At 45.3% G+C, this 21,119-nt stretch overlaps 1 protein-coding gene and 1 pseudogene across 32 annotated transcripts in view, besides 1 other annotated feature; one reads left to right on the top strand and one right to left on the bottom strand.

The window, feature by feature from the left end:
* Positions 4,484-4,778: a silencer, noted in NCBI's record as "tiled region #11525; HepG2 Repressive DNase matched - State 13:Ctcf, and K562 Repressive non-DNase unmatched - State 13:Ctcf". NCBI's record gives its function as "represses a minimal TATA promoter and a strong SV40 promoter by Sharpr-MPRA in HepG2 and K562 cells {active_cell/tissue: HepG2 | K562}" and the evidence as "EXISTENCE:reporter gene assay evidence [ECO:0000049][PMID:27701403]".
* Positions 6,201-6,954, bottom strand: CHCHD2P2 (coiled-coil-helix-coiled-coil-helix domain containing 2 pseudogene 2; annotated as a pseudogene).
* The window catches only part of CCDC125 (coiled-coil domain containing 125), a 59,763-nt gene continuing 46,662 nt past the window's right edge, over positions 8,019-21,119 (top strand). For 12 of the 32 annotated variants that reach the window (XM_047416908.1, XM_047416901.1, XM_047416899.1 and 9 more), the window contains exons 1-2: positions 8,019-8,055; positions 20,240-20,583. In XM_047416908.1, coding sequence (XP_047272864.1) covers positions 20,437-20,583 — 147 coding nt within the window. In that variant the 5' untranslated portion in view covers positions 8,019-8,055; positions 20,240-20,436. Of the gene's footprint in view, positions 8,172-16,107; positions 17,018-20,239; positions 20,584-21,119 lie in introns of those variants that run through there. The other 20 variants (XM_011543258.3, XM_047416900.1, XM_047416898.1 and 17 more) reach the window with 8 other exon arrangements.

Raw genomic sequence — 21,119 nt, 5'->3', positions numbered from 1 at the left:
TCCCCATGTTGGTCAGGCTGGTCTTGAACTCCTGACCTCAGGTGATCTGTCCGTCTCAGCCTCCCAAAGTGCTGGGATTACATGTGTGAGCCACCGTGCCCGGTCCAAAAATAAATTTTATATCCATGCCTCCACAGTTCTAAATTTTGGAAAAGTTTTGACAAAGAAATCAGGGTTATCTTAGAGGTTATCTTAAAGTTTTTTTAAGGGGGACAGGTGGGAGTAAGCCTTGAAATATTTTTAGAGTGAAGACTGTTGTTTTAAATACATGTCAGAGTTTTAAGTGAAGAAAAATTATTTTTGGTTTGCAAAAGCTATTTGATGTGCCTACTCTACCATAATAGATACTAGGCAAACTGACTTTAAAATTATAAATGTATTAATCTTTTTTTTTTTTTTTGAGACGGAGTCTAGCTCTGTCACCCAGGCTGGAGTGCAGTGGTGTGATCTCGGCTCACTGAAACCTCCACCTCCTGGGTTCAAGCGATTCTTTTGCCTCAGCCTCCTGAGTAGCTGGGATTACAGGCACCTGCCACCACGCCTGGCTAATTTTTGTATTTTTAGTAGAGACGGCGTTTCACTGTGTTGGCTAGGCTGGTCTTGAACTCCTGACTTTGTGATCCACCTGCCTCGGCCTCCTAAAGTGCTGGATTACAAGCGTGAGCCACTTCACCCAGCCTATGTATTAATCTTTTAAAATAATCTTAAATCCTTGAGCATCTAATGTGCACATAGCATTGACCTTATTTATAATCAGGAGAAATTTTAGAGCCTCAATTTTAAGTCTCGTATATTTCCCAGTATACCTAGATATGTTTACTTTTGGGGTATAAGTGGTTAAGGCAAATGTGAGCTGGATCTGGAGAAGAGAAAGAATAAAGAGGTTTGTCACTGCGAGGAAAGTGTTTATTACTTGTCTTTGTTGTTAATGCAGAATGATCTTTAGACCCAGCAGTTTTTTGACCACTACCACGTCCCTTTGGTTATTCCAAGGTTGTAGGATATTAGGAAATAAAACCAAAATTATTTCACCAAGGTAATGAAGTTATGATGCAGCATGTTTTCATGGGGTTATAGGTAGGTAGCACCCATCTCAGAAAACCACCAGGAATAGGTAACAGTCCCCAGTAGTAGCTTTCTAAGCCCACAGGGCCATTCCTGTTGGTTTCCACTTCCATGACTTTGCTCCAGGAATTCCTTTGGCCTACAATGCCTGCTTGGTTTCTCAGTAATGAAAGCCTGCTTTTCTTTTGTTCTTTTTTTTTTTAAATTATCAGGGATTTTATTGATTTTACAAAGGATGATGTAGTTTCACTGACACTGCAGTATAAGAAATATAACAGCAAAAAGATACTGCCTTCCACCTCCCCCAACCCCAAGAACTTTCAGTAATGGAATTTCAGACTAAACCTTTCCTTTTATTTTCTTATTTTCTCTTCTCTTCTCTTTTTTTTTTTTGAAACGGGGTCTCACTCTGTCACTCAGGCTGGAGTGCAGTGGTGCAATCTTGTCTCACTGCAACCTCCACCTCCCGGAGTGATTCAAGTGATTCTCCTGCCTCAGCCTCCCAAGTAGCTGGGACTACAGGTCCGCACCACAAGGCCCAGCTAATTTTTGTATTTTTAGTAGAGACGGGATTTCACCATGTTGGCCAGGCTGGTCTCAAACTCCTAACCTCAGGTGATCAACCCACCTCGGCCTCCCAAGGTGCTGGGATTACATGAGTGAGCCACCACGCCCAGCCAGACTAAACTTTTCTAAATGTCATGTGGAAGATAAAATTATTTGTACAAATGTTTTCATAAATATATTAAAGCATTTCAACACCTAGCAATCCATTACTAAAGACATTAATTTAAAAAAATTATTGCAATATTTGGTGCCATTATATAATGGAAAATAAGGTAAACATGCAGACTGTATATAGTCTAATTCAATTAACAAATATAAGGAAAACCTATTAGCTAAATTTCTGGCATTTTTGAAGAAACTAAAATCAAGTTAACAGCACCCCATGGTCTCAATGTAACAGGAAAGGGAAGGGATGCTAAAACCCACCTCCTTTGATAACTTCCAAGTAGATGACCATCTGGCCTGATTTGCGTGGGATTGAGGGTTATCAGGATGTGGGACATTTAGTGTTAAAACCAGGGCAGTCCTGGCCCAGTAGGGACAGCTGGTACTCTTCACCCCTCCAGTTCTTTTAAAAATGTGTGCAATTGGCCAGGCGTGGTGGCTCACACCTGTAATCCCAGCACTTTGGGAGACCAAGACGGGTGGATTACAAGGTCAGGAGATCAAGACTATCCTGGCTAACATGGTGAAACCCCATCTCTACTAAAAATACAAAAAATTAGCTGGGCGTGGTGGCGGGCACCTGTAGTCCCAGCTACTAGGGAGGCTGAGGCAGGAGAATGGTGTGAACCTGGGAGGCGGAGCTTGCAGTGAGCCGAGATTGAGCCACTGCACTCCAGCCTGGGTGACACAGAGAGATTCCATCTCAAAAAAAAAAAAAAAAAAAGTGTGCAATATCCACATTGCTTTATTCTGGGACTTTTCTGCTTGCATATAAGGCTCTCCAGGAAGTCACGAAGCTGCATGATGGCGGGGCTGGAGGAATCAGCCACATCTCCGGGGCATCCACCTCTTGCATTAGAGGTGTCTTCAACTCTATCTTCAGGTGTCCAGGCTGCCACCAGGTAGCTAACAAAGAAATGTCCTGGGTGACTTTTGTCTTTGGTACTCTGTGCTTTCCCTGTTGACATCCTCAGCTCCTACCTCCACAGGCCTCGCACTGTATTCCCTGTGGCTCATGCCCGTGGACACTCTCTACAGGGACTTGCTCTAAGCACACTGTTAACTAATTGACAAAAATGCCAGCTATTGGCCGGGTACGGTGGCTCATGCCTGTAATCCTACCAATTTGGGAGGCTGAGGCGGGCAGGTCACCTAAGGTCAGGAGTTTGAGACCAATCTGGCCAACATGGTGAAACCCTGTTTCTACTAAAAATACAAAAATTAGCCGGGCGTGGTGGCGGGCACTTGTAATCCCAGCTACTCGGGAGGCTGAGGCAGGAGAATTTCTTGAACCCAGGGGGCTGAGGATTCAGGGGGCTGAGGATTCAGTGGGTCGAGATCGCGCCATTTCACTCCAGCTTGGGCAAAAGAGCGAAACTCCGTCTCAAAAAAAAAAAAAAAGGCAGTTATTGAAGCTCAAAGTGTGACCTCTTCTAGGAGTGTTGAGAGGTTTTAAAACGGCATTCTTAGACCTCAAAAATCTTTCAAAGACACAAAGCTAGACAGTAAAAATTGTTAGCTCTGTGAAAACCATTAGCTCTGTGAAAACCAAAGTGCAAAGCACTTAATAATAGCAATAGTTGTTTCTTACTGTGAACCATGTGTCAGGCACCATTCTAAATATTTCACAAACAATTCATATAGCAGCCCTGTGTGGTAGGTACTGAATCAAGCCAATTTCACAGGTAGAGACGCTGAGGCTGAGCTTGGTAATTGTCAGAGCTTGATTTGAACCCAATGCCATGCTTATATACCTCCAAAGTCAGGCTCTTTTTTACTTCACGATGAATAGTTTTTTTTTCTGATATCACACACACATACACACACTAAATATATATTATATATATAATGTATATATTATATATATTATGTATATATTATATATATATATATGATTTTTGTAGAGAGAGACAGGGCTCACTGCATTGCCCAGGCTGGATTGCAGTGGTGCAATCATAGCTCACTCTAACCTCAAACTCCTGGGCTCCAGCAGTCCTCCTGCCTTAGCCTCCCAAGCAGCTAGGACTATAACTATGCTCATCCAATTTTTTTTAAGAGACAGGGTCTTACTATGTTGCCCAGGCTGGTCTTGAACTCCTGGGCTCAAGCAATCTTCCAGCCTCAGCCTCCCAAAGTGCTGGGATTACAGGTATGAGTCACCATGCTGGGCCTCACATGTTAGGTTTTAATGAGGTCTCTTAGTTTGCCGCTAGGATCAAGTCCTCTCTCTTTTTTTTTTTTTGAGACGGAGTCTCGCACTGTGGCCCAGGCTGGAGTGCAGTGGTGCAGTCTCAGCTCAATGCAACCGCCGTCTCCCGACTTCCAGCGATTCTCTTGCCTCAGCCTCCCGAGTAGCTGGGATTACAGGTGCGTGCCACCACGCCCGACTAATGTTTTGTGTTTTTAGTAGAGATGGGGTTTCACTGTGTTAGCCAGGATGGTCTTGATCTCATGACCTTGTGATTCACCCACCTCAGCCTCCCAAAGTGCTGGGATTACAGTCATGAGCCACCGTGCCCGGCCTCAAGTCCTCTCTCTTACCTCTCACTGATTCAGCCACATACAATTATTTTGATCACCTGCTATGCACCCATGGTGTTCTTGGCACTAGGAATCCTGCTGTGAGTGAAGCTGAGCTCCTGCCTGGGTAGAGCCTGGGCCACATGGGTCTCCCAGCTGTGCTTTGAAGTCACTGTCAAAAGTCCTGGGCACTGGAGAATTTCATGTGTCTGTTGCTAAGGCAAGATGCCAAATTCCACATTTGCCTCCAACAGGAACAAATGTCAGTTTCCACCAAGCCCCACCTTGTTCAGGTGACTCCTGTTGTGAGTCTTTTCATACCATCTCCCCTTCACCCACAAGTGCCACCAACAGGCAGAGGTGGGGAGCTGGGTTTGGAGATACTGGTCTGATCCTTAGGTGAACTCCTCTCCCCTGATGTTGCAGGAGAATGGGTGCTCAGATGGAGAATCAGCACTCTTCTCAGGATTGGAAGGTGCTGTGGCTGGGGGAGTCTGCATTATGTTCTGGGCTGTGAGCTTTTCCAGAATTCTGCTCCACAGGCACACATCTGCTGTGTATGTATTTCATGGTATAAATCAGATGTCCCTGAGTTCTCTAGTATTGAATGTCTATGTAAAAAGTGTCTAGCCCCAACTGAGGATGCTGGAAGTCTAGTCTGTTAGGAGGCCCCTGAATATGTGCTTGTCTTGTGTGACCTTCCAGGAGGTGACTCAGTTCTCTTTTGTTCTGTTTCTTGCTCTAGGCTATTGCTCCATTTTTTTGTAGGTCATCTCCTGCCACTTCTTCTCTAGGGTAATGCTGTTTGCAATACACAGTTCCTTGTCTTGGTTTCCCAAGCATCTTAGTTCTGAAAGTGAGATATGGGCTTGTCTGGGACGTGGGGGACAAAGATCAGGTGCCTCCACAAGTGACTCTCCTCAGCTCCCAGCCAGCTGACAACTGCATGGACTGATGGTCTCTTTCTTTCCTTATCTGCATGCTGGTTTCCAGGACTTTGCGCACCCTGAAGGAGCCTCATATGACCCAGTAGTTTCATTCCTAGGCAGCTTTTATATCTTTTATCATTTTTCTAAGCTTAAGACACCTTTGGTCAGCCACGGTGGCTCACGCCTGTAATCCCGGCACTTTGGGAGGCCAAGGCGGGCGAATCACCTGAGGTCAGGAGTTCGAGACCAGCCTGACCAACATGGAGAAACCCCCTGTCTACTAAAAATACAAAATTAGCTGAGCGTGGTGGTGCAGACCTGTAATCTCAGCTACTCCAGAGGCTAAGGCAGGAGAATCACTTGAACCCGGGAGGCAGAGGTTGCAGTGAGCTGAGATCTCGCCACTGCACTGCAGCCTGGCAACAAGAGAAAAACTCTGTCTTTAAAAAAAAAAAAAAAGACTCCTTTTCTTTCCTCATTAATTTGGCGGCCACGTCTGTCCGGAACTTGTGGGACGTCCTCGTCTTCATCAGGTTGGCAGATACTCCAGCATGGCCTGCCGGCCGCCGAGGCCACCATCCACAGGCTCAAGGGCTCCGTGGTCGCTCCTTCGTGCTCCCGCCTCCAGAGGGAGCCAGACAGTGCATCCTTGCAGTGGACGCCGCCCGCCCGCAAAAGCCTGTTTTTCAATGACTGCCTCTACCTCTGAACCTCAGCTTAGATTTCTCTCTCTCTCTCTCTCCCTCCCTCTCCCTCTCTCTCTCTCTCTCTCTCTCTCTCCCACCCCCACCTCCTCTTTTTAAGACAAAGTCTTGCTCTGTCACCCAGGCTGGAGTGCAGTGGCGCGATCTCGGCTCACGGCAAACTCCGCTTGCCGGGTTCAAGAGATTCTCCTGCCTCAGCCAAGCAGCTGGGAATACAGGCACCTGCCACCACGACCGGCTAATTTTTTTTTTGGAAGAAAATGACTTTATTCTAATTAACTCACAAAGAATAAAATCATAACAGCTAGTTTAAGGAGGCCACACAAACATTTGCCCTGTCACAGATTCTACAGAGTAGGAACACCCCCCTTCCATTTCAATTCTGAAGCAAGGAAGCTAGGAATGACAGGAGAGGTTTAACTCATGGTTACACTTTATACCCTCACTATCAATTCTATTTTTATACTAAATTAACTTAGTTATGAGAGCTGATTTTCCATCTCTCCAGGTTGAACTTCTTGATTAGGCCAATCCGTTTGCAAGTCGGCACTGTTTCAGCACCTCATTGAAACCCTCACAGAGCTTGATGTCACCCTGGTTCTGGGCACACTCCAGAAACTGATCTCATAGAAGCAAGGCTGCTGCTGCTGTGCCGGCTGGGTTCCCTGAGGCTCCTGGTAAGTGATGTCAGGCCTCGCAGGCTCAGCATTACTTCCTCCCCTGAAAGCCCCAGTAATGGCGTGACCCACAGCAGAGCCCACAGCCACGCCAGCTGCAGTGGTTGCCATCTGGGCCATCAGACCTGGCTGCCGGGGCGCAGCAGCAGAAGAGCCAACTACAGATGGGGGTGCCGCTGCTGGTGGCTGAACGACTGGTACTGGCCTGGGTGCAGCTCTCATCTGAGGGGGCCTGGCTGGCCGGAGGGGCCATGCGGGAGGTGCGGCTTCGGCTTCCACGCGGCATCCTAGGTACGCGACGGCTCGGCCTCCGGACGTGTGACGACCGGCTAAATTTTGTATTTTAGTGGAGATGGGGTTTCACCATGTTGGCCAGGCTGGTCTCAAACTTCTGACCTCAGGTGATCCACCCACCTTGGCCTCCCAAAGTGCTGGGTTAACAGGCGTGAGCCACCGCACCTGGCCCGATCTACCCTTCTCTTACAGGATTCCTAGAGACTTAATATTTTGGTTTTGGTTTGTTTCTTTTTTGAGACAGGGTCTCCACTCCGTCGCCCAGGCTGGAGTGCAGTGGTCACTGTAGCCTGGATCTCCCAGGCTCACGGGATCCTCCCACCTGACGGCCTCCCGGCCTCCTGAGTAGCTGGGACTACAGGTACGCACCACCACACCCGCTACTTTTTAATTATTTTTTTTTTTTGAGACGGAGACTCGTTCTGTTGCCCAGGCTGGAGTGCAGTGGCACGATCTTGGCTCACTGCAAGCTCCGCCTCCCGGGTTCACGCCATTCTGCCTCAGCCTCCTGCGCAGCTGGGACTACAGGCACCCGCCACCACGCCCGGCTAATTTCTTGTATTTTTAGTAGAGAAGGGTTTTCACTGTGTTAGCCAGGATGGTCTCAATCTCCTGACCTCGTGATCCACCCGCCTCGGCCACCTAAAGTGCTGGGATTACAGGCGTGAGCCACCGCGCCCAGCCCTACTTTTTAAATTTTTTGTAGAGCGGGGTCTCACTATGTTGGCCATGCTGGTCTCGAATTCCTGGCCTCAAGCGATCCTCCCGCCTTGGCCTCCCAAAAGCTGGGATTACAGGTGTGAAACCCCGCGCCGGTCTGAACCTCAATGTTTGAACCACCAAATTTTACCTGTATTGACACAGGCCCCGTCTTGTTGTTTTTCTAAATCTCATGTCATTGTTTGCATATTGGTTACCCGTGGTTGGCTTTGGAGCTGAAGGTGGACAGAGCTAACATCAGGTTGCACACAGGAACACAGTGAGGTCGCGAAAAAGTAGCGCGAGCTGCCTCCATGGCCCAGGGCGACCTCACCGGCGTTTCCTGTCTGGGACTGCGCCCACGCGGTCACGTGGTGGCCCGGAGGACGCGCGGCGGCAGCGGCGCACGCGCACGGAGAGGAGGCTACTTGCCAGGTGAGCGAGCTGAGTGGGGCGCCGGGGCGGTAGGAGGGTGCTGTTCGCTGAGCTGGAGTCCGGGCTCCGGTCCCCGCCACGGACCTTGAGAGGGTACCCGGGGTCAGACCTGGCAGGTGGGAACCGGGAGTGGGGAGGACCCAGGGCAGGGGCGGGATGCGCAGATTCGTGGAAACTCTGCAGGTTGTGGACAAACTGCCCAAATCCTTTTCCCTGAATGCCAGTTTAATGGCCTCGTCTGATAAGAAAAAAATAAGAAATAGATTTCAGAGACCCTATTTCTCTCTCTGCCTCTCCACCTGCTTTACTTTTTTTCTCTTCTGTTAATTTTGAGCCTTATAAAACTATAGCGCCAGTATCCTGGTTTGGATCCTGAAACAGAAAAAGACATTAGTGGAAAAAATAATAAAGGCTGTGGTTTAGTTAATAGCACGTACCCATGTTAATTTCTTAATTTCGACAAATTGTACACAAATGTTGACATTAGAGGAATTTGGGTAAAAGGTACACAGGAATTCTTAGTACTATCTTTGCAATTTACTGTACATCTAAAATTATTCTAAAATGAAAAGTTAAGAAACAAAATCCTAAAGCAAAGTGCAGCAGGCCATTGTTCACCAGGGAGGGCTCAAGTTAGTTCCTCTTTGTCATGGAGTTAGGCATGTTTGACCAACTTGTTTGCTAAGGCAGAGTTGTCAGGCTACTGAATGTAGATTCTTCTGTCCAAAGGTTTCCGGGCAGGAATCGGTTTTCTCTTTCGATTCTGTCAAATATCTTTGGAACACATGTTGTGCATAAGCAAACGAGACACACAAAGTCTCTGCATAAGGGAATATACAGTCAGTCTAGGTCAGGTAGGAAGTAAGCACTATTAAAAAGATTCAGTAAAACCTCCCAGAACTGGGAAGACTCAGATGTGGAAGAAATCACATCTGGTCCAAGGGAGTCAGGAAGGCTACTGGAGGGAGTGCTGTCCTGAACTGAGGGGGCTCTGAGAAGAAACAGCATTCCTGGGGTGAAGAATGGCACCAATAGAGGCTTGCAGGTGACCAAGCTGAGCTGAGGGAGGAGCCCTGGGAGCAAGTGCAGTTCCTCTTACGTGGAAGCGCAGAGTACATCCAGGGAGTACTGCCAGATGAAACTGGAGGTGAAAACTGTAGCTTTGTTGTAGAAAACAGGGTGACACTTCAGTTGGATACATTATTTTTATTTTTATTTTTTTGAAACGGAGTTTCGGCTGGGCGCAGTGGCTCACGCCTGTAATTCCAGCACTTTGGGAGACCGGTGAGCAGATCTCCTGAGGTCTGGAGGTCTAGACCAGCCTGGCCAACATGGTGAAACCCCGTCTCTACAAAAATACAAATATTAGCCGGGCATGGTGGTGGGCGCCTGTAATCTCCGCTACTGGGGAGGCTGAGGCAGGAGAATCGCTTGAACCCAGGAGGTCTAGGTTGCAGTGAGCCGAGATCGCACCATTGCACTCCAGCGTGGGTGACAGACAATAGTGCTGTCTCAGCTCACTGGAACCTCCACCTCCCAAGTTCAAGCGATTCTCCTGCTTAGCCTCCCAAGTAGTTGGGATTAAAGGCGCCCGCCACCATACCTGGCTAATTTTTGTATTTTTAGTAGAGACGGGGTTTCACCATGTTGGCCAGGCTGGTCACAAACTCCTGACCTCAGGTGATCTGCCCGCCTCAGCCTCCCAAAGTGCTCGGATTACATGTGTGAGCCACTGTGCCCAGCCTACATTTTTTTTAAAAAGGAAAACAGGGTGACATTGACTACAATTATACATGCCATGGGAGCCATGGAATGTTTTACAGCAAGAGAGAGACATCATTCGGTTTGCACTTGGATATTATTGACTTGGCAGCAGTATGTAGGTTGGCTTGAAGTAGACCAATTAGGAAATTATCAGGCTAGCCTTGGGGAATTAAAGAGACGTTCCACCAGGGCAGTGAAATTAATGTGCAAAGAATGACATAGTTTGGGGAGATTTTTTTGGGTCTAGAAGACCTAGCAACTGAAGGCATGTGAAGACCAAAGAGGAAAAAACAATTCCAAAGTTTTGCTCCTGAGTGTTTTGGAGCATAGTTGATGCATTTGCAGAAATAGAGGACTCAGAGGGAGACCTGGAATGGGGGCTGGGAGGATAGTGAATTTTTTTTTTTTAGATGGAGTCTTGCTCTGTCACCCAGGCTGGAGTGCAGTGGTGCAATCTCGGCTCACTGCAATGTCTGCCTCCCGGGTTCAAGCGATTCTCCTGCCTCAGCCTCCCGAGTAGCTGGGACTACAGGTGCACACCACCGTGCCCAGCTAATTTTTGTATTTTTAGCAGAGACAGGGTTTCACTATGTTGGCCAGGCTGGTCTCGAACTCCTGACCTCATGATCCGCCCGCCTCAGCCTCCAAAGTGCTGGGATTACAGGCATGAGCCACCGTGCCCGGCGGTGAATTTGTTTTTGAGCAAGATGTGCTTGGATTGCTGGTGGAATATCCAGTTGGAGATGTGTATTTAAGATTAGTAAAAGAAGCCAAACATTTACAAAAGGGACAGGAAAAAGAAAAAGAGCCTTAGAGGACAGATATGAGAAGATATGAGTCAGGGAAGGAGGAGGATCAGATTTCTATTTCTAGGGGCTTCAGGAGTCAGGTGGACCTGGACTTAGTGAGTCAGTAGTGTCACAGCTCCTGCAAAGGTAGAGGAGACTGAGGAATGAAACTTGATCTTGGATTTATCTATGAGGAAGTCACTGGTCATCTTTTAAAGAGTTGTTTTAGTGGAAAAGTGAGACGACTGCTAACAGACTGTAATCTATTCATCCTACAGCCTTTCCCAAGTGGCCAGAGGACTGGACAAAGAGCCAGAAATATTGTTTCTAGTCCTGGCTCTGCTGCTAATTACCATTGTATTTGGGGCAAGTCACGTATGCCTGGGCTGGAATAGAAAAAAATACATCCGAGCTGGGCTCGGTGGCTCATGCCTGTAATCCCAGCACTTTGGGAGGCCGAGACAGGTGGATCATCTGAGGTCAGGAGTCCGAGACCAGCCTGGCTAACATGGTGAAATCCCATCTCTACTAAAAATACAAAAATTAGCTGGGTGTGGTGGCAGGCACCTGTAATCCCAGCTACTCAGGAGGCTGAGGTGGGAGAATCACTTGACCCAGGAGGCAGAGGTTGCAGTGAGCCGTGATCACGCCATTGCACTCCAGCCTTGGTGACAAGAGCAAAATTCCGTCTCAAAAAAAAAAAAAAAAAAAAAGACTTGAATCCTGGCTGGGCATGGTGGCTCACACCTGTAATCTCAGCACTTTGGGAGGCCGAGGCAGAAGGATTGCTTGAGCCCAGGAGTTTGAGACCAGCCTGGGCAATATAAGGAGACCTCGTCTCTACAAAAAATACAAAAATTAGCTTCTACAAGAACAAAAAAATTAGCCAGGTGTGGTGGCACATGCCTGTAGTCCCAGCTACTCGGGAGGCTGAGATGGGAGGGTCACTTGAGCCCAGAGGTCGAGGCTGCAGTGAGCTGTCACTGCACTCCAGCCTGGTCAACAGACTGAGACTCTGTCCATATAAAAATAAATACTTTAATCCTAAACGTTGACACATCTATTTTAGACAGCATATATTGATATGTTGGTTCAAGTCGTCTTTTAAAAGTCAAAGGTAGGCCGGGCGTGGTGGCTCACGCCTCTAATCCCAGCACTTTGGGAGGCCGAGGCCAGCGGATCATGAGGTCAGGAGATTGAGACCATCCTGCTTAACACGGTGAAACTCCATCTCTACTAAAAATACAAAAAATTAGCCGGGCGTGGTGGCGGACACCTGTAGTCCCAGCTACTCAGGAGGCTGAGGCAGGAGAATGGTGTGAACCCAGGAGGCGGAGCTGGCAGTGAGGTGAGATGGCGCCACTGCACTCCAGCCTGGGTGACAAAGCGAGACTCCATCTCAAAAAAAAAAAAAAGTCAAACGTATAAAGTATGAAGGAACCTCTGTGTTTATCTATTCAAGATTACCATATAGTACAGAATCAGCTGTAGATATTCTTAGATTTTGTAGTACTGTTAAAATACAATATTATAAAAATGGTATATGGAAAAATACTCTAATCCTACTAATTTATTTTTATCTTTTGTTTTTCTTCTAATCTTTGTTCTAGTACAGACAACTTTGAATTCTGCTTTTTATGTTTTACACTTGTATATGTGAGCATTTATCATGTTGCTGCCTAGTCTATACTACATAGTATTTTTATTTTTATTTTTATTTTATTTTTATTTTTTGAGATGGGGTTTCACTCTTGTTGCCCAGGCTGGAGATTATTCTTAAACTATGTTAAATACACTATAACTCTAATACTTATTTAATTAATTTTGTTTAATTACATAGTATTTTATAAAGTTGTTAAACCAAGATTTAACTATTTCTTTATTGTTCAACATATTTTATTATTTTCTAATTTTGTCCAATTAGAAATTAAATGGTAGAGTAAATTGCTGAATGCATTGAACATAAAACAGGCATAAATACAGACTCATTTTAATTTAAAAAATTAAAACAAAAAAAGTCCAGGCTTGGTGGCTCACGCCTATAATCCCAGCACTTTGGCAGACAGAGGTGAGCGGATGGCCTGAGGTCAGGAGTTTGAGACTAACCTGGCCAACATGGTGAAACCTTGTCTCTACTAAAATACAAAAATTAGCTGGGCATGGTGGCAGGTGCCTATAATGCCAGTTACCTGGGAGGCTGAGGCACAAGAATTGCTACAACCTGGGAGGCGGAGGTTGCAGTGAGCTGAGATTGCGCCATTGCACTCCAGCCCTCAATAAAACCAAAAGGACACTTTTATTCCTAGCAAAACCTAATAGTCTGGAGAACATGTTCCATGGAGCACACTTTGGAAAATGCTGATACAGAAACAATTTTAGAGCTCTGAAGAACCAAAAATCTAGTCCCCTAAATTGACAATTGAAGAAAATAGTATTCAAATTCAATAAACATTGATTTGGCTACCATAGTTGATTTCAAATATATCAGTGGTGCCCAAAAATGTCCCAATAAAGTAGTTATGCTTAAACCCCTGTTAAGAAATAAAACAGGCTCTAAGAAGTTAAATGACTTACCCAAGATCAAAAAGTGGCAAGTGGTGAAGTGAGATTTGAACCCAGACCTCTCGAGTCAGTGCCTTCTCCGTTAACACATCCTGCTGCTTCCCTGGTCATCAACCCTGAATACATTAAACTGGTTGGATAGTTTAGTGACTTCAAATATTTTCACTTTCTTGGAAGTAATGTGTTTCAAAAGTGAAGTTTAATTTGTATGGTATTTCATGTTACCTTACTATCAGCATATAAAAAGTGGGAGAATAGGCCAGGCGGGGTGGCTCATGCCTGTAATCCCAGCACTTTGGGAGACCGAGGCAGGCAGATCATGAGGTCAGGAGATCGAGACCATCCTGGCTAACGCGGTGAAACCCCATCTCTACTAAAAATACAAAAAATTAGCCGGGCGTGGTGGCGGGCACCTGTAGTCCCAACCGCTCAGGAGGCTGAGGCAGGAGACTGGCATGAACCCGGGAGGCGGAGCTTGCAGTGAGCCGAGATCTCGCCAGGGCACTCCAGCCTGGGCGACAGAGCAAGACGCTGTCTCAAAAAAAAAAAAAAAAAAGTGGGAGAATATACAGTCAGCAGTCCCTGAAGTTACATTTTATTTTATTTATTTTTAGAGACAGGGTCTTGCTCTGTTGACCAGACTAGAGTGCAGTGGCGTGATCACAGCTCACTGCAGCCTTGACTTCCCACCTCAGGCTCCCGTGTAGCTTGGGACTACAGGTGTGCACCACCATGCCCAGCAGTTTTCTTTTTTTCCTTTTTTTGTAGACATGAGGTCTCACTGTGTTGCCCAGGCTGGTCTGAACTACTAGGCTCAAGCAGTCCTCCTTCTTTGGCCTCACAAAGTTCAGGGATTACAGACATGAGCCACCATTCCCAGCCTGAAGTTAAGTTTAAGAAACAGTAGGCAGGGATAAAAAACAAACAAAACAACAACAAAACCTCATTATATTCAACTCTGAATAGCAGGAAGGCGTACCCATGATGCCTGAATTTATGTGGTGCATTGAAAAATATTCTTAGCTAACTCTACAATTGCTTACTCTTTCCTTTTACAGCTTTTCCCCCTTATATTGACCAATTCCATTTTCTTCTCTGCTGCCTGCCTAATCCTGACCACACCCTTCTTAACACAGGCCAGAGGTTGCCCTTAACAAGCAGGAGTCTACTGCACTAGAGGTAAAACACAGCCTCTCAAGGGATTATTCTTTGATTCAATAAATATCTTCTTATCTACCTTGACAAAATAGGTAAATCTCCTTTTTAAGGAAATAATCTTGTAAAAGAACCAAGATGATTTTATAAAAATCTGGGAAAAAGTGGATCCAGAATCTGTTAGATGTTGCTCAAACTAGATATTTTAGACTTTTACTTTAAGTTCTATTTGAAGTCATAAATAATAGAAACTTGGTATACTCTGATGTTAATTTCATTGAAATTCTCCAAATAATACAAAACAGTGGCTAAGAGTGTTGGCTCTGACATCAGATATCTGGATTAAAAATCTGTCTCTGGGCCAGGGGTGGTAGCTCATGCCTGTAATCCCAGGACTTTGGGAGGCTGAGGTGGAAGGATCCCGTGAGGTCAAAAGTTCAAGACTGGCTGGCCCGAGACCCTGTTTCTACAAAATGAATTAAAAATTAGCCTGGCAAGGTGGTACACATCTGTAGTCCCAGCTACTTTGGAGACTGAGGTGGGAGAATCACTTGAGCCTAAGAGGTCGAGGCTGCAGTGAGCTGTGGATGCCATCACTGCACTTCAGCCTAAGCAATGAGCAACAGAGTGAGATGCTGTCTCTCTTTTTTTTTTTTTTTTTTTTTTTTTTGAGACAGAGGGTTTTGCTTTTTCACCCAGGTTGGAGTGCAGTGACACGATCTTGGCTCACCGCAACATCCACCTTCTGGTTTCAAGTGATTCTCCTGCCTCAGCCTCCCGAATAGCTAGGATTACAGGCACCTGCCACCACACCTGGCTAATTTTTGTATTTTTAGTAGAGATGAGGTTTCACCATGTTGGCCAGGCTGGTCCTAAACTCTTGACCTCGTGATCCGCCCACCTCGACCTTCCAAAGAGCTGGGATTACAGACGTGAGCCACTGTGCCCAGCCCGAGACCCTGTCTCTTAAAAAAAATCCATCTCCACTTCTGGTTGACTGTGTTACTCAGTCTCTGTCTGCTTCAGTTTAATTTTCGTACTTAATAATGGTATTTTCTTGCAGAGTGTTTGTAAAGAATAAATATAATCTAAGGCACTTAAAACTGTCTAGCACATGGAAAGCAGGCAACAAGTGCTAGGTATTATTACATCTTTTTTTTTTTTTTTTTTGAGACAGAATCTCACTCTGTTGCCCAGGCTGTAGTGCAGTGGTGCAAGCTCGGCTCACTGCAACCCCTGCCTCCCGGGTTCAAGCCATTCTCCTGCCTCAGCCTCCCAAGTAGCTGGGACTACAGGCATGCACCACCACACCTGGCTAATTTTTTGTATTTTTTAGTAGAGATGGGGTTTCACCATGTTGGCCAGGCAGGTCTTGAATTCCTGACCTCACGTGATCCGCCCACCTTGGCTTCCCAAACTGCTGAGATGCAGGCATGAACCACCACACCCAGCCTAATGAGTTTTGATAAGTGGCCACTGTGGTGAAGATATAGAAGTTTTCCATTACCCCAGAAAACTTCCCTCATGCCCTTTGTGGTCATTTCTCCAATGCCAAGCAACCATTAATTTGTTTACCATCATTGTGTGTTAGTTTTCCCAGTATTTCATACAGTATGTGCTGTTGTTTATTTATTTATTGTTTTAATTAGTGATGGGGATCTCGCTATGTTGCCCAGGCTGGTTTCGAACTCCTGGCCTCAAGTGATTCTCACACCTCAGCCTCCCAAAATGCTGGGATTACAGGTGGGAGCCACCACATCCGGCCTAGTATGTGCTTTTTTGTTAGCGTAATGTCTGGGAAATTCATTGCATATATCGGAAATGCATTGCATGTGTAATGCATATGTCAGAAATGCGTTGTTCTTTACTGACAAATATATTCTGTTGTATGGACAGACCACAGTTTCTTTGTTTTACTGCAGATGGACACTTGGGTTGTTTCCAATTTTTGACAAATTGAGTGATGTATGAATATTCATGCACACATCTTTGTACGGACATGGGGTTCTGTTTCTCTTGAGTAAATCCTGAAGAATGCAGTTGCCAGGTCACATGTTTGTAAGAAGCTATCAAATTGTTTTCCACAGTGGTTGTACCATGTTTTACTCACATCACCAATGTATGAGAGTTTCAGTTACTCCACATCCTCAGCAGCACTTGGAATTGTCAGTGCGGTGAGGTGGAATCTCACTGGGGTTTAAGTTATAATTGCCTGATAACTAATGATGCTGAGCATCTTTCCATCCATGTATCTTCTTTGATGACATATCTGTTCAAATCTTTTAAGGGTATTTGTTTTTAACATTGAAAATATATGGCATTTTGATCCTAAAAATGACAGAAATTCCTTAATACATGGTCAGATTTATTTGGTGTCTACATAAGGTTTAATAGTGGAAGAATAGAGAGATCTCCACAACAAATGCAAGACTGAGATTAAATGTCTTTCGAAGTTTTGGAAGCAACTACTTAAACAGCAGGATATTTAGAGAAAAATGTTAGACATGTTTATACCCCCACACCCCACTTTTTTTTTTAATGAGCCTTGAGAGAAGGATGAAATATTTCTAAATAGCTATAGCAAAGCAGCTGTTTTGAAATGCCTGGTGGTGAAAGTCCCTCTTAACTGCACTCTGTCCTGGAGGCACAAGGTTGAGCATTTCTGCTTCTCCCGGCTGCTTCACTGTCACCAGGTAGGTGACTAGGGTGGTCTCCACATGGGGAGGGCTCAGTGATACTAGTTGATCTGTAGGCATTTTTGCCAGGAGAAGTTTTCTGCTGGGAAGAAAGGCAGGCATAACTCCTCTGTATCTGCTGTGGAGTCCTGCTAGGGTGCCGGTTTTGTTTTTCTGCCCTAAAAGCAAGTACAGTCTAACCAAACCTGCTGTGCGTGGCCTGAGGTGGGATAGGAGCTCCGTGAGTTCCACATTGGTTGATTCAACCAACCAGGGTTGAAAATATTTGGAAAAAAAAATCCACAGTGTTCCAAAAACAAAGACGAATTTGCAGGACTCAGAGTACGAGGTTAAATCCACGGGAATGAAGTGATGTATAGGCAGTGTATTAGATATTATACGTAATTTAGAGACAATTGAAAATATATATAAAGTACACAGGAGGATGTGCCTAGATAATATGCAAATATGATACCTTTTTGATTAACAAATTAACAAATTTTTTTTTTTTTGAGATGGAGTCTTTCTCTGTCGCCCAGGCTAGAGTGCAGTGGCGCAATCTCGGCTTACTGCAACCTCTGTCTCCCAGGTTCAAGCAATTCTTCTGCCTCAGCCTCCTGAGTAGCTGAGATTACAGGCACACGCCACAATGCCCGGCTAATTTTTTTGTATTTTTAGTAGAGATGGGGTTTCACCATATTGGCCAGACTGGTCTTGAACTTCTGACCTCAAGTGATCCGCCCACCTTGGCCTCTGAAAGTGCTGGGATTACAGGCATGAGCCACCGCGCCAGGCCGAACAAAAAATTTTTTGAGATAGAATGTTGCTCTGTAGCTTAAGCTGGAGTGTGGAGGCACAGTTATGGCTCACTGCAGCCTCCACCTCCCAGAGCCAAGCAATTCTCCCACCTCAGCCTCCTGAGTAGGCGTGTGCCACCAGCTAATTTAAAAAAAAATTTTTGGGCCAGTGCGGTGGCTCACACCTGTAATCCCAGCACTTTGGGAGGCCAAGGCGGGTGTATCATGAGGTCAGGAGTTTGAGACCAGCCTGACCAACATGGTGAAACCCCGTCTCTGCTAAAAATACAAAAATTAGCCGGGTGTGGTGGCGCGTGCCTGTAATCCCAGCTACTCAGGAGGCTGAAGCAGGAGAATTGCTTGAATCCAGGAGGCGGAGGTTGCTGTGAGCTGAGATTGCGCCACGGCACTCCAGCCTGGGCGACAGAGCAAGACTGTCTCAAAAAAAAAAAATTTTTTTTTTGTAGAGACAGGTTCTCACTGTGTTGCCCAGGCTGGTCTCAAACTCCTGGGCTCAAGCAATCCTCTAGCCTCAGCCTCCCAAAGCCTTGGTATTACAAGTGTGAGCCACCATGCCTGGCTAAGAATTTGAGGATCCAAGGAAATACACAGGGGTCCTGGAACCAGTTCCCCTTGAATTCCTTGGGATGATTGTATTTCAGTTTGTTTCTTTATTCCTCTCTTCCTTTATTCAGTTACTAAACAAGTATTTATTGAATGTAGAGTATATCTGCTCCCCACCCCCACGTGGTGCCTCACTCCTGTCATCCGAGCTACTCCAGAGGCTGAACTGGGAGAATCACTTGAGCCCACGAGTTGGAGACCAGCCTGGGCAACATGGTTAGACCTCATCTCTCAAACAAACAAATGAAAAAAAAAACCCAGCTGGGCGCGGTGGCTCATGCCTGTAATCCTAGCACTTTGGGAGGCCGAGGCAGGCAGATCACCTGAGGTCAGGAGTTCGAGACCAGCTTGACCAACATGGAGAAACCCCGTCTCTACTAAAAAAAAAATAGAAAATTAGCCGGGCATGGTGGCGCATGGTTGTAATCCCAGCTACTTGGGAGGCTGAGGCAGGATAATCGCTTGAACCCGGGAGGCGGAGTTTGTGGTGAGTCAAGATTGCGCCACCACACTCTAGCCTGGGCAACAAGAGCGAAGCTCCGTCTAAAAGAAAAAAAAAAGAGTTCTGAAATGTTAAATACTTATAATTGGATTGCAAGGGCATTTATGTGCGAGTGCATTGCTAGGATATTCATGCCTGTATAATACAGAAAGAAACTTTTTTCCCTGAAAAATTCAGCTTTATTATACAGTTATGCACCAAATTATGTTTCAGTCAATGACAGACCACATAGACAGTGGTGGTCCCATAAGATACTATTGTATTTTTACTGTTCCTTTTCTATGTTTAGGTATGTTTACATACACAAATATTGACCCATGTGTAACGATTTCCTACAGTATTCAGTGCTATACCATGTTGTACAGGTTTGTAGACTAGGAACTATAGGCTCTACCATGTAGCCCAGGGGTATAGTAGGCTATACCATCTAGGTTTGTGTATGTATGCTCTATGGTGTTCACACAACGACAAAATTGCCTAACAACACATTTCTCAGAATATATTCCCATCATTAGGTGACACATGACTTTACTGATGGGTTTTCTTCATTTTGTTTGTTAGGTTTTTTGTTTTTTTAATTGAAAATTGACAGATTATGGCTGCCTATATTTATGAGGTACAAAGTGATGTTATGATTTATGAATACAATGTGGAATAATTAAATCAAGTTGATTAACATATCCATCATCTCAAATACTTATCATTTTTGTGGTGAGAATATTTGAATTTTATTCTATGAGCAATTTTGAAATGTTCAATACATTTTTGTTATATTCACCATGCTGTGCAATGTATTGCAAAGGAAAAAACCTTATTCTTCCTGTCTAACTAGGACTTTGTGCCCTTTGACCATCATTTCCCCATTCCTCCCATCCCCCAGCCTCTGGTAACCACCATTTTTCTTTCTGCTCCTTTGAGTTTGATTGTTTTTTATTTTATACATAAGGAAGAACGTGGTATTTGTCTTTCTGTGTCTGGCGTATTACACTTAGCATAATGTTTTCTAGTTCCATCCATGATGTCCCAAGTGACAGGATTTCCTTCTTTTTCAAGGCTGACTAGTATTTCATTGTGTACACACGCACACGCACACACACACACACACACACACCCCACACCATATTTTCTTCACCTGTTCATCTTTGATGGACACTTAGGTTGATTCCATATCTTGGCTATTGTGAACAGTGCTACAGCAAACATGGGAATGTAGACATCTCTTTGACATACTGATTTCAAATGTTTTGGGTAAATATCGAGAGGTGGGGTTGCTGGATCTACTGATGTTTTCCTAACTACTGTTTTTCTTAACTACAGACAGCCCATTTTTTCTTATGATAAAGACGGCATTTGGCTCATGAGCAAGGTGGCAAGATCATCAAGTGAGTCAGACGTGCAGCTCTGGGAAACAGAAGAGGATGACATGACAGAAGGTGATTTAGGGTATGGCCTCGGAAGGAAACCTGGTGGGATTTATGAAATAGAATTTTCACATAGGTCTAGAAAAAGATCAGATGGAAAGAACTTTAGCCCTCCTCCATTTCCGAGAAAGGGAGAAGAAAGAAATGAAGCGAGTTTTCAGTATTCCAAGCATAAGAGCCAGCAAGATACATTCCCTCAAGTGTCCAGAATTTCCAATTACAGACGACAAAGTAGCACTGGTAAGAATGCTGAATTTCCTCTCCTTTCTTTCTCCTGTGCATAGTATCAAAGCTATAACCCTTCCAAAATCTAAAATAAATAACCATATTGGATTTTAGATTTTCTTTTTTTTCTGGACGGAGTCTTGCTCTGTCACCCAGGCTGGAGTGCAGTGGCACGCGATCTCGGCTCACTGCAACCTCCACCCCCCGGGTTCAAGCGATTCTCCTGCCTCAGCCACTGGAGTAGCTGGGATTACAGGCATGCACCACTACACCTGGCTAATTTTTGTGTTTTTAGTAGAGGCGAGGTTTCACCATCTTGGCCAGACTGGTCTCAAACTCCTGACCTCAAATGATTTGCCTGCCTCGGCCTCCCAAAGTGCTGGGATTACCGGCATGAGCCACTGCACCCAGCTTTTAGAAATTTATCTTTATTCATCTCTTGGGATTGGTGGTAGTATAAAAGTAGTTGATAGCCGGGCGTGGTGGCTCACGCCTGTAATCCCAGCACTTTGGGAGGCTGAGGCAGGTGGATCACAAGGTCAAGAGATCGA

This window comes from Homo sapiens, chromosome 5 (genome assembly GCF_000001405.40).
Source record: "Homo sapiens chromosome 5, GRCh38.p14 Primary Assembly".
In the NCBI taxonomy this organism is placed as follows: domain Eukaryota; kingdom Metazoa; phylum Chordata; class Mammalia; order Primates; family Hominidae; genus Homo; species Homo sapiens.
The sequence above is the reverse complement of the archived record's forward strand: the minus strand, read 5'-3'. Positions and strand labels throughout refer to the sequence as shown.